At 36.7% G+C, this 13,911-nt stretch overlaps 1 long non-coding RNA gene across 1 annotated transcript; it reads left to right on the forward strand.

Moving 5' to 3' along the window:
• Positions 1-5,680: 5,680 nt before the first annotated feature.
• On the forward strand, positions 5,681-12,176 carry LOC105374038 (uncharacterized). Its single transcript, XR_924331.3, has 6 exons — positions 5,681-5,869; positions 6,264-6,737; positions 7,483-7,619; positions 8,695-8,770; positions 11,317-11,535; positions 11,855-12,176. It is a non-coding gene; the product is annotated as an uncharacterized LOC105374038 (long non-coding RNA).
• Positions 12,177-13,911: the final 1,735 nt, after the last annotated feature.

Consider the following 13,911-nt stretch of genomic DNA (forward strand, 5'->3'; position numbering starts at 1 on the left):
AACATATAAAAAATCAATCAACATAAGAGACAACATTAACAGAATGCAGGACCAAAAACCATATGATCATCTCAACTGATGCAGAAAAAGCATTTGACAAAATTCAACATCATTGTATGATAAAAAACACGCAGCAAACTAGGAATATAAGAAAACCACCTCAACATTGCAAAAGCCATGTATGAAACCCTGTAGCTAGCATCATATTCAATGACAAAAAACTGAAAGCTTTTTCTCTAGCATAAGGATCTAGGTAAGGATGCCCACTCTTACCACTTCTAATCAATGTAGTATTCAAAGTTCTAGCCAAAGCAATTTGGTGATAAAAAGAAATAAAGAATATCTAAACTGAAAATTATTAAAATGATCTCTGCCTGTAGAAGACATGACTTTATATGCAGAAAATCCTAAAGATTCTGGGAAAAATCATATTAGAATTAATAAATTCAGCAAAGGACACAAAATTAACATACAAAAATCAGTTGCATTTTAATACACTAACAATGAACAATCTGAAAAGAAAATTAAAATAACAATCCTATTTACAATAATATCCAAAAATACTTAGAAACAAACTTAAGAAGTTGAAAAACTTGTACACTGAAAACTACAAAACATTGCTGAACAAAATTAAAGGAGACACAAATAAATGGAAAGGCATTCTGTGCTTAAAGATTAGAAGACTCACTACAACTAAAATGTCCATAGTACCCAAAGTGAATACTGCAGATTCAATGTATTTCCTATAAAAATCCCAATGGCATTTTTTGCAGAAATAGAAAAAATTATGCTACAATTCAAATGGAATTTCAAAGAATACCAAATAGCCAAAATAATCTTGAAAAAGAAAAAGAAAGTTGTAAGCGTCATACTTCCCGATTTTAAAATCTATTATAAAGCTACAGTAATTAAAGTAGTGTAATAGTGGCATAAAGATATACATATAGATCAATGGAGCAGAACAGAAAGGTTAGAAGTAAACCCTCATACATATAGTTAGATAACCTTGGGCAAATATTTCAAGATTACACGTTAGGGAATGAACAGCCTCTTCAACAAATGGTGTTGAGAAAACTGGATATTCACATGGAAAAGAATGAAGTAGGACCATTGCGTTCCATCATATATGAAAACTAACTCAAAATGGATTAAAGACCTAAACATAAGTTCTAAAACTGTAAAACACCTAGAAGAAAACACAGGGGAAAAGCTTCATGGCATTGGATTTAGCAATGGTTTTTTGGATGTGACACCAGATGAACAAGCAACAAAAGCAACAACAGGCAAGTGGTACTACATCGAACTTAAAATCATTTGCACATCAAAGGAAACAACAACAGAGTGAAAAGGCAACCTACAGGGTAGAAGAAAATATTTGAAAATCATATATCTGATAACAGGTTGAGATCCAGAATATAACAACAACAAAAACAATTAACAAATGGATGAAGGATTAAACACACACATCTCCAAAGAAGTTATACAAATGGGCAAGGAACATATGAAAAGATGCTCAATATCACTTAATCATTAGAGAAATGCAAATCAAAACTACAGTGGGATATTACGCCACACTTATTAGTATGACTACTATCAAAAAAACAGAAAATAACAAGTGGGGATGAGATTATGGGGAAACAAGAACCCCTGTGTACTGTTGGTAGGAATGTAAAATGGTGCGGCTTCTGTGAAAATCAGTATAGAGTTTCTTTAAAAAAATTAGAAATACAATTACCATATAATTCAGTAATCCCTCTTCTGGGTATATATCCAAAATAGTTGAAAGTAGGATATCTTGAGCTATTTACACACCCATGTTTGCTGTAGAATTATTCACAATAGCCAAGAAATAGAAGCAAACCAAGTGTACACTGATGGCTATATGGACAAAGAAAATGAGGTATATACATACAAAGGAGTATTGTTCAGCCTTATGAAAGAAGGAAATCCTGTCACTTGCTACCATATGGATGAATCTTGAAGGCATTTTGCTAAGTAAAATAAGTCAGTCACAAAAAGGACACTGTATAATTCTGCTTATATTAGGTATCTAAAGTAATCAAACTCACAGAAACAAAGTAGGATTATTGTTGCCATGGGCTGTTGGGATGGGGAAATGGGGAATTATTCAATACGTATAATGTTAGTTTTGCATGATAAAAATTTTCTAGAGATCTGTTTTGTGACAATGTGAATATAGTCAACATTACTGGATCATACACTTAAAAATGGTTACAATGTTAAAAAAAAATCAGCTGGACATATTTGTGTGACCTTATTTACGGTTTCTCTACTCTGTTCCATAGCTTAATGTGTGTCTGTCTCTACCAATCTCACATTGTCTTAAGTTCTCTAGCTATAGAGTAAGCCTTCCTCTTATAGGGTAGAGAGACTCTTTTCACTTATTTTTTATTATTATTGGTTTAGCTATTTGGGGCCAGTGCCTTTTCATATAAATTTTAGAGTAAGCTTATATATGTTGACAAAAATTCTTGCTGAGATTTTAATAGTAATTTTATTAAACTTATAGATCAATTAAGAAAGAATGACATCTTTATTATGTTGAGCCTTTGAATCCATAGGCATGGCATGTCTCTCCATTTACTTAGTTTTTTTATTTCTCTTATTATGTTGTAATTTTTGCATAAAAGTTCTGTACATGTTTTATCTATTCTGTTTTCCTTGGAACAATTTGAATAATAGTGTAGTTTTAATTTCAGTTTCCACAAATTCATCGTGTGCATATAGAAATACAATTCATTGTTTATGTATTGGCCTTGTATCCTCTGATCTTACTGAACTCACTTATTAGTTCTAGGGTTTGATGGTTTGTTAATTAATTAATTAATTTTTATTTATTTATATACAGATAAGAATGAAATACATAAGTGGGGATAGTTTTAATTCTTACTTTCCAACCTGTGTGCATTTTTATTGTCTTATTGCAGTGGCTACAATTTCCAGTAATGTTTAATACTATTTGTGAGATTAGGTATCCTTGCCTTGTTCTGATTTGGGGAAGGAATGTAGTTTTTCATTATTATGTAAAATTACAGCTTTAGAAATTTTTATATGGTTCTGTGCAAAATGAGGACACTTAGAAGTCGATATAGAAATGAAAATTTTATTTTGACAGCTTTCTTCTATTGGCAATTTTTAAACCCATTTACCCAAGCTCCCCTTTTCCCAACTCAAATCATATCATCCCAAGTTTCCCTGTCTGTTAGCTTAATTGCCTCCCATTATCTCCCCAATAGCCCCTTGGCACTGCTGCAAATCAGGCTGGTAGACAAATCCCTGTGATTGGGGGAGAAAATGAGTGGTTTTAACAATGGCTGATAGAGGTCACATGTCCACCATCAATATCTTCCTAGTAGCACCTCAGCAATGAGAGTCCATCCAGGTTTTGGGCTTGCCATGCTTTCTCTCAGAAAAAACAATCTCCCTTTCTCTAGTGCTAAGGCAGTTTCCATTTTGTCATGATGAACTGGATGCAATTCTGTATGAAGAGAGAAGGCTGGCTAAACAATTTCTGAGCATATAAATCCATGATATTATTATTAATCAGATAGAAACATACTACAGCTTAAAATATGTTTTCCTATAATGATACTTAGTATGTCTTAGCAGCTTAGTAGTTGCAACAACCTCCTAATTACCAAGCAGTAATTATTAATTTCCCCTTCATAAATAGAGGAACTATACTTCTTGCCTCTTTTCTTTTTCCTTTTTTTCTACTTCAACTAACACTGATCAAGCACTAGATACTGGAGTGGTAGAGAGAAACCCCTGGGCAATAAAATGGGGTAAAACACTTATTTCGATCATCTTTAAAGATTCACATTTTATGATGGAGAATAATTCACAAAATAAAAGGATAAAAAGCAAACCTCAAGGTCATAAATGTAAGGGCTCTGTCTCATAGTACTAGGTAGACCCACACACTGTCAAATGCTACTTGATGCTTTGCCATGTTATCTCTCCCAATCTTCCCCCCAACAACCCTAAAAGATAGGTATTATTTCACCTATTTTATAGCTAAGGAAGTTGAAGTAGTGTGGCCATCATTATAAGGCTAATAATAGGAAGGGTTCAGTTTTGAAACTAACTCTATCTCATTCCAAAGCCTGGGTTCTTTCTACTACACTGTGCCAGCTTCATACTAAGTTCAGAGAATGGAAAAATGCCCATTTACTGGACAATAATAGAAGAGTTCATAGAAGAGTTAACTTAGGACTCAGGCCCTGAAGGATGATCAGAGTTCTGGGTAAGTGGAAGGAGCTAGTCATAAGAGTGCAATTCAGGAACAAGACCCCACCCCCCCCAAAAAATAAAAAAGGACAGAATTTTGGTCATAGCATGCAAATATATCTTCAAGTTGAATCATGTGGCTGTTTTTGCTATTGTAACATTTCTGTGGGACTCAGTGGGACATCAAAAGGAAAGGGGACTTGGAAGCAGAATATAGAGTTATGAATGACAGGCTTAAACATCTGTATTTTATGGTCAACCTTAAGTGAAAATTTCAGTAGTTTGTTACATTAATAACCTGAATGAATCATGACTTCTGGTATACCATATACTTGTGTGGTTTCTTTCCCACATTGACTCTGGGTTTGGCCATGTGACATGTTGTGTGACTTTGGCCAATGGAACATCAGTGATATAGTTTGGATGGTGTCCCTGCCCAAATCTCACGCTGAGATGTAATTCCCAATGTTGGAAGTGTGGTCTGGTAGAACATGATTTGATCATGGAGGCAGATTTCTCATGAGTGTTTTAGTACCATCCGCTTGGTATTGCCCTCATGATAGTGAGTGAGTTCTCATGAGATCTGGTTGTTTAAAAGTGTGTGGCACTTCCCCTGTCTCGCTTGCTCCTGCTGCCACCATGTGAAACTCCTGCATCCCCCTTCGCCTTATGCCATGATTGTAAGCTTTCTGAGGCCACACCAGGAGCAGATGCCACCATTATACTTCCTGTACTGCTTGTAGAACCTTGAGCCGATTAAACCTCTTTTCTTATAAATTACCCAGTCTCAGATATTTCTTTATAGCAATGCAAGAATGGCCCAATAAAATCAGCAAATATGATGTAAGCAGAGACTTAATAAGCACTTATGTATTGAAGTGTGTCCTCTTCAAAGGCAGCTGCCTCAATGTAAGAAATGTGGAAAAGTCATGTGGAAGAGAACCAATGTGCCCCAGTTGGCAGATCTAGTTATGTAAGCCATCTTGGACCATCCACCTAGTCATGCTGCCATGAGTGATCTTAGGTAAGATGGGCTGAAGAACTGATCAGTCCAGCCAAAACTGGAGAATTATGAGCCAACAAATTTTTGTTTTAAGTCACTAAATTTCAGAATAGTTTGTTAAGCACCAACAAATAACTGACTCACAGGTATGAAAACTCATTGAGAACAGGGCTTATGTCCCATATGTTTAGATTAATAACCTCCTGGCTATTTCAGTTACTCTGCAGAAATGAAGGCAGAGCTACAGTTACCTGGCAAAGATGGGACCACTTAACACAAAGTCAGGCATTGTCTATGAGGGAGGGATATAGAGGGGCCTCCTAACAAGCCCTTGAATTATAATGATGGGTCACTGAGAGACAAACTTACATTGAACCCAACAATAAATTGTTGGCCAATTCAAAATCTCTCCCAGCTCTATGATCATTCAAATGTTGTTGAGATTTCATCTTGCATATTATATATTAATTTAAAAATACATTTTCATTGAGAGAATGTAATATTAAAATGAACAACTTTATGATCCATTTCATTTTGCTTCTTGCAGTCTGGTTAACAATCCATTTTAATAAGCAAGAGGCTGCAGAACTACTGTCCGCTTATGTAAATGAGAAGGTACACTCATCTTTATTCTTCACTGTAATTACCTTTTATTTATTTTTGAAAGCTTCCTGAATTTCAGCTCATTGTTCAATTGGGAATCATATCTTGTCTATTCGGAACAGTTATTTTAATTTCCAGATTCTGAACAGACATTATTTCTGTGATTCATTTCACTCTGCCTTTTTTGCTTTGGTTTTACTGAATGTAATTTATGTCTTTTTCCCCTCCATGCCTACTAAAAATTACTTTAACTGTGAGGTCCTTGTCTTTCCTCTCTCCTTTTTTACTTCCCACTTTAATTCTCAATAGAAAACCTCCCTTTAGCATAAAGAAAATGCAAATTTTGTGGGGTAAATTTTTGCTCTCTACTGTTTTTATTTCATGCATGATTACCTTGAGGCTTTAGTTTACAAGCCCTCCAAAAAGAAATATTACACACCAAATGAAATTACCAATAGCTCCAGGAATATGAAGTGATGAGAGAGCATTTTATTCCATACAATCTTCAAAATAACTGGTATCCAGAACAATACAACATGTGTCAAGATGACTCATGAAAGTCTCTAATAGAATGGAGAAGAAGCTTGAAAATGAATGCAGCAGCATGGTGTAAAATTGTGCACTATGAGGTATTAACACCCTTCTGGAAAATACTATGAATCATGTTTCAAACTAGTCATTCTCAAATGTTATCCATATCTTCCCCTTAGAGCTATCATGACGTCCTCTGTCCCTCATTTGCCCTCACTGTCCCTCGACCAGATGCAATCTATCTTCCTAGAATTACAGCACATTCAAAGATATAAGGTGTGTGAAGAAGAGTTCCCAGATACATTTCAAAAAGAAATCTGTGATCTTCTCTGAAGTGGAGCCTTCTCAGGTCAGTGTGAGCCCCTGGTTTTCAGGAGTATGAAACTGGGAGAAGTTAGCACGTTGGACCAGCGTTGTACCATGAAACAGAGCCAAATTCCAGATGATTATCTATGGCAGTAGGTGCACTTAATTCTTTATATGCATATACCTACACTATGAGCCATAAAAGCTGACTGGAGTCATGGTTAATTTTTTTTAATCAGATAGCTGCCATTATTTTTCGTATGTAAAGGTATACAAAACAAACGTGTGTCATTGAATTTAGCACATATAATACCGAACTTAGCTGGGAGGATTTTAGTTGCTAATGTGCTAACAGCGTTTTTGTTTGTTTGTGGTTTTTTGTTTGTTTGTTTGTTTGTTTTTGTTTTTGTTTTTTAGATGGAGTTTCACTCTTCTTGCTCAGGCTGGAGTGCAATGACATGATCTGGGCTCACCCCAACCTCCGCCTCCAGGGTTCAAGCAATTCTCCTGCCTCAGCCTCCCAAGTAGCTGGGATTACAGGCATGCACCACCACGCCCGGCTGATTTTGTATTTTTAGTAGAGATGGGGTTTCTCCATGTTGGTCAGGCTGGTCTCGAACTCCCGACCTCAGGTGATCCACCCCCGTCCCGGCCTCCCAAAATGCTGGGATTACAGGTGTGAGCTACCGCACCTGGCCAACAGTGTTCTTAAGTTACTTCAAACATAATTCTTGAGCTTAGATTCTCTATCTGTGAACTTAGGAAATATGTACTTCATTCCTCTTCAGGCAGGGCTGTCCAATTTTTAAGAAACAGAGACCCAATCAAATCAGAAGATCAAATAAAGGTGGGAGGATATTGTAAGATACAGAGCACATGGGATATACAAGGATTGGAATGACAATAACTAGATCTTATTGAAATGGTAAGTCACCAGAAATCAAAGCTGCTTTCTCCATTCTTTGGGGCCTGATGATCTACCAGCTCAGATCTCCTGTGCATGTACTCTCTATTCTCCTTTCTTTAAATATTCATTTATTTTACTCATCAGCTTCCAAGTGCCCCCCACTAAATTGCTAAGATATTCCCTAATCTAACCACTTAGAAACTGTGGGTGTTGGGGGCAGCCCATAAAATATATGAACTAACTTTCCACCTCAGGGGGAAGTGAAGATGGGTTAAGTCGATAGAGGAAAACACTGTAATCATACTATTGACATCATAAAAAGCAATACAATCATCCCTTGGTGTCCACGTGGATTGGTTCCAGGACCCTCAGTGGATTCCGTTGTCTGCAGATCCTCAAGTCTTTTATATAAAATGGAATAGTATTTGCATCTAACCTATGCACTTCCTTCTCTATATTTTAAGTCATTTCTAGATTACTTTTAATAACAAATACAATGTAAATGCTATATAAATAGTTGTTATATTGCATATTAAAATTTGTATTATTTAAAATTTTTAAGATAGTCTCAATTTGTGTTTGGTTGAATCCGGACATGTAGAACCCATGAATACGAAGGGCCCACTCTAGTGTTAACAGTTTTCTGTGTTGAAATGACACAGTGGTGCTATACATCACTGGAAGCAAAAGCAAACTTTTGGCCCATGGCATAATTAAAATTTCAGTGTAGTAGCAGTTTGAAATTGATGTTTTCTATTTATTATCATATTCTGTATGTGACAGAGGGCAAAAAGAGGGATTTTTAGCTAGAAGTTAGGCAGAAGTAATTGTTAGAAAACATTAAATAGAATATTCTTCCATTTAGAGTGCTTTAAAAGTTTGAGAGGCTATCTCATTTAGTAGTAAGTTGTCAGTCACTGGAGATGTTTAATCATTTCAGTATTAAAAGAGTATCTCCCAATTTTAATATTCCAATTCTCTGACTATACATTGGAGCTAACTGGTGTACCAAAACAAATGAACTATTGACAAATACTTAATGCATAACACATACACAGCTAAAGCTAAAATTGTGCATTTTTTTTCTTGATAGGGTCCAGTGTAGCAAGTAAGCTACATCACTCTCTTGAACAGGACAGCTTATTCTGATTGTGATACCAGATGGGCAGGTAATGTCAAGGTTAGCATCCTGTAATAAACATTAGAGAATCTCACCTACGTTTTGCTTAATAAAAACCTATTTCATGTCCACATCAAAACTCAGGACCATCATCAATCCAAACATAGAAAATCAGCATCTTAGACAGGTTTGAAAGAGCTCAGTCTTAAAGTGGTCCCTATAAAGTATCTATCCAAAGTATAGCTGACAAATGATGATTAAAAAAAAAAAAAGACAGGCTAAGAGGTATTTATTCATTTATCCAGGTTCTTTAAACCTTATTCTTGTATAAAATAACATGATCAGTATGGTATGGACAAGGACTGCTATCTTAACTTCCCAGAAACCTGCCTTCGTGTCAAACTTTAACTTCATGCTGTGGATTTTTCTTAAATTTTCATATAAAAAAGCACTATTTGAAAAAAATTTCAGTGGCATCTACAAAAGCTGTTATTTTTCATTGTGCCTACTCTACTGCTCACTGTTTCCTAATAATGGAAAATGGAAAACTATTGTTCAGGAATTTGGTACCAAGAAAATGTCTCCCCAGGCAAAATTGGGTGTCTTTTTAACATCATTATATAATGCTGTGTTTAACTTTTGCCTTGGTCACTTGGAAGTTGTGAGCTAAAATAAGTATTTAATTGTAGTAATGGTCTCCTTCTGGATGTGGTTATCTGGATGTGGATTCTTTCTTCTCTAATTTTTTTTTTTTTTTTTTTTTTTTTGAGACGGAGTCTCACTCTGTCTCCCAGGCTGGAGTGCAGTGGTGCAATCTTGGCTCACTGCAAGCTCCACCTCCCGCCTCCGCCTCCCGCCTCCCGCCTCCTGCCTCCCACCTCCCGTGTTCACGCCATTCTCCTGCCTCAGCCTCCCAAGTAGCTGGGACTACAGGCTCCCGCCACCACGCCTGGCTATTTTTTGTATTTTTAGTAGAGGATCTTCTCTAATTTTATTTAGAAAGACTTTCGATATATGAATTTAAATCATACAATATTTATTTTAGAAGCAGATACAATATAAATTAAAAAATTAGAGGAATGAAGAAGACAGCTTCCGAACCAAATAGGCTATCAAATCAGTTAATATTATAAAACATTTCAGAGAGACCTTGATATTTGAAACATGGGTGTTTCTGTGAGTCTGCCCTAACCCCACCTTCCCTAACAGACTAGCATATTTATTAATCATTGATAAAAAATATCTATTGACAAGAGTGAAAACTAACTTTAAAATGTAATCTGTGGTGCATTGCGAAGAAGGCTAAAGTTGCCAACCAGAGTAAATACCTACTTTATTATAATTTGAGATTTGTATTCCACATACTCTATTATGTATTTATGATTAGAATTATCACAGGTTTAGTCTTGCCAGGGTTTATACTTTAAGCATTGACCCCTTTATCTGGAGGATGAGGGGTGGGGAAGTTGGACAGAGTCACCATATCCTCTTATATTGACCCTGGAGGATAACCATTCTCAGATGGATAAAAGAAAACAAAAACCAGCCTCCAAAAAACTATACAATGTTCGATAATAATAGTGACTTTATAAAGAATATGTACGTTTTCCTTCATACTTATTAGAAAATGATTACTATTGATGCCTTGATCACTTTTTTTTTTTTTGAGACAGAGTCTCGCTCTGTCACCCTGAGTGCAGTGGCACCTCTGAGTGCAGTGGCACGATCTCAGCTCACTGCAACCTCCGCCTCCAGGGTTCAAGCGATTCTCCTGCCTCAGCCTCCCGAGTAGCTGGGATTACAGGTGCCTGCCACAATGCCTGGTTAATTTTTGTATTTTTAGTAGAGATGGGGTTTCACCATATTGGCCAAGCTGGTCTCGAACTCCTGACCTCAGGTGATCCACCCACCTCAGCCTCCTAAAGTGCTGGGATTACAGGCATGAGCCACCATGCCTGGCTGATGCCTTGAGCACTATTGTACCCTTGTTGCCTGACATACATCTTGGGACATGATATACTCACAATTAATATTGTGATAAGTGTGTTGACTGAAGTACTGATGAAAAGGCAGATTTTGGTTTGCAACAGAAGCAAAATAAGATGAAGCAGTGATTTTGAATGGATAGGGAGAAATAAAAGTAATGGTGAAGAGGTTTGCTTAGATGAGCAAGACAAAGTTCCAGCTAGGAGTAGGCTCTTGCAGGAAGCTATTAATTATCTAATTTTAATATACCATAGGAATGCAACATAAAATGTTACAACTGCTTTCTTCCCCATATATCAGGCATAACTGCACAATCAGGTTTTAATTACGGTAGGCACAACTTAGAAAACACGAGCATGTTTTCCACAGCTTTAAGGAAATTTCAGCCACTAAAATATGCACTAATTAACTTCATTTGTGAGACTAGGTGATTTGTCATAACTTCTGTTATTTCCTCTATCAATTTAAAAACACGGGTACCAAGTCTTTTTGAATAAACAGGAAATATTCTGCTGGTAATAATCCACAATCTCATCATTCTTTGTTTGGGTTTATTACCCACGGCCAGGAGACAGACTCACAACTACATTTCCTATCTGTTTTTTCTAGATGAACGTTTATTAATATTACGTATTGTCCAGATCAAAATGCTGTATTCAGAGCAGCTTGGTGGGTCTAGTTTGACCACCGGTATAATGTGAAGAAACCTGGATTCCTGGTTCAGACCACCTCCTTACTAGACATAAAATTTTTAGCAAGCCACTAATTATCTCTGTGACTTTCTTCACCTAGAGAGAGCAAAATGGATAGAAGACCAAATGGGCTGACGTAAGTGAATGTGCTTTGGGAATGAAAAAGAGGGTATTAAAGGTGTGCGAAGCATGTAGGAGATTCAAAGGAGAATGCAGAGGGGACATCTTATCCACTAAAGTTTTGAAAGGTTGTGAGGGTGCAGTGTTGCTCTCTTCTTGGGTAAAAAGGCAGAATGTGATGGAGTTTGGTGTGCCACTGTCAGAGTTGTTCACCTGCCAGTGAGAAAGGCAATTGCATTATTATTTCTTCCCCATTCCTGTGTCTGTGAGAAAATTCTCCATTACTACCAACTATCCAGTATTGATCACCTGATTTTTACTGTCATCCATTGCAGACTTACTATAATCCTGGGACAAAAACACATTAAGAGGAAGATGGATCAATAGTTCTCAAAGGAAAAAGATGGCAGCAACCTATAAGAAGATCTGAGCTTCTAGGAATGATGGGCTATTTTTTCTATTTTTCAGAGACTTTTATAGCTTATAAATACTTATCAGAAGAAATTAGTTCCACAGAATGACAGTGAAGTTGTGATCACATCCCACCAAATTGTAATTTTATATCCCCTTCCTTCACCAAGGTTAAATTGCACCTTCCCACGCTACAATGTTTTCCATGCACTTTGCAACTTAAATAATAAATGATGCATGATTTAAGATGACAATTATTCTTTGAATACAAATCTCAAGAATAATGGTGATCATTATTCTCAAGAACAAGCATAGCAGAGCATACCAAGAGAGCAGTGTTCTTTTCTTGCTATTTTTCTTCTTGCTGATTTTTTTGTATTTTGTATATTTTTTTCTGAATCACAACTTCATTCTTTAATTTGTAACCTTCAAGAACCACCTAAAGTCATTAAACCTTTAAAGAGCCATGATAATCCAGGAGAGGTTGTTCTATGTGGACACAAGAGAAAAATAAATGAAGGGATTCAGCTTTAAGATTAATTTCTGGGGATTAAAAAAAGTCCCAAACTATTGAATAAAAGTTAATTTCAAGATTATGCCTTATTTTAATACTTTCAAATTTAAATTATGTATTCTTGCTGCACAGGGCATACATTTTGTCTAAACTCAGTGTATTCAACAGAATTTGTTAAACACTTCCATATGCCCAGCTCTGCTCCATGCAGGAACCTTTTTCTTTCATTCACGGATATCTGAAGAGCCTATTTCAGGCAGGCGACTGGACTCCCCTGCAAACTTTTTCCTCTAATCCCCTGGATATCCACCAGGGTCCACACCAGAACCAGTATTCCATGGTTTCTCAAGGAGATTTCCTTGTACTGAGTGAGAGACTCCTTCCAATTTGGGGGTTGCCGAGCAGAAGTTTTGGTGGAAAACATAGGGAAGTGAAACTTTGGTTAGAAGAAAACCTGCTTTTCCTTCTTACCACCTCCCCTTACTGCTTTTCCTCAAACAAACAAATACAGGTGTGCTAGTCTTTAAGGTGATTTCACCTTCTTGCTCAATCTTCCTCCCAGTTTTCATTCTGTTTTTCTCCCTATCTCTTCCTCTCCCCTACTCTCTGTCTCCTGCCTTCACTCCCTCCCTCTCTCTCCCTCTCACAGTCTGCTTCCTCTCTCCTTTATAGACCATAATATATTTCCTTTAATCAATATGGAGTATCTTGGAAACTAAGGTGAAACCAAAATCTGGCTTGGAGCCCAGTCATCACTTTCTGAAGTGACAAGCTCTGGTAATAGGGGAGGGTTTGCAATTATACAGATCATTGCTTCGACCTGGTGCAAAGTCAACCAGGCCACAATACAAGAACAAAAAGGCTTAATTTCTGCAGCTTCCAAAGTGCTCTGAGCATTGCCTCAGTAGACATTGACCTGTCTGCTGTGCTAGCTAGCTCATTTTGCTCTTCTTCAATTGAAACCCCAAGATAATCAGCTCAGCTCGTTTGCTGTTCCCCTTGTGATCTTCTGCCTTGTAAAGTGAAAGTTAATGTCCCTATTACATACATTCCTTTTCCTCACTATCTACCAAAAAATGATTTGCACAAAAAAGTACCCTTTTAATGGTGCAAGGCTCTATATCCTAAGTATCTGGTTAGTTGTACCTTTTGCATCTTGGTATCAGCTTTGATAGCTTTAAAAAAGGCACTTTCTAATCTTCCTTTGAAATAAAATTTCTCCTTTCAGGCTAGCTTAGTATGCAATTTATGTAGAATACAGTAGAGAAGTTGCGTTCTTTCAAAATATATTAAGGCTTTCTAATCACTTTCAAAGTAAAACAAGAGTGGGAACTCAAATTATATGAGTGTGTTTGTCACCCAGATAAGGAGAATGCACGGGCTGTAATTGAACCCCTTATCACGATTCACTTTGACTTTCCCAGTTCAGCTTGTCTTGAGGCATTTCTCTTTCTTTAAGCTTTGAGG

This window comes from Homo sapiens, chromosome 3, assembly GCF_000001405.40.
Source record: "Homo sapiens chromosome 3, GRCh38.p14 Primary Assembly".
Taxonomy (NCBI): domain Eukaryota; kingdom Metazoa; phylum Chordata; class Mammalia; order Primates; family Hominidae; genus Homo; species Homo sapiens.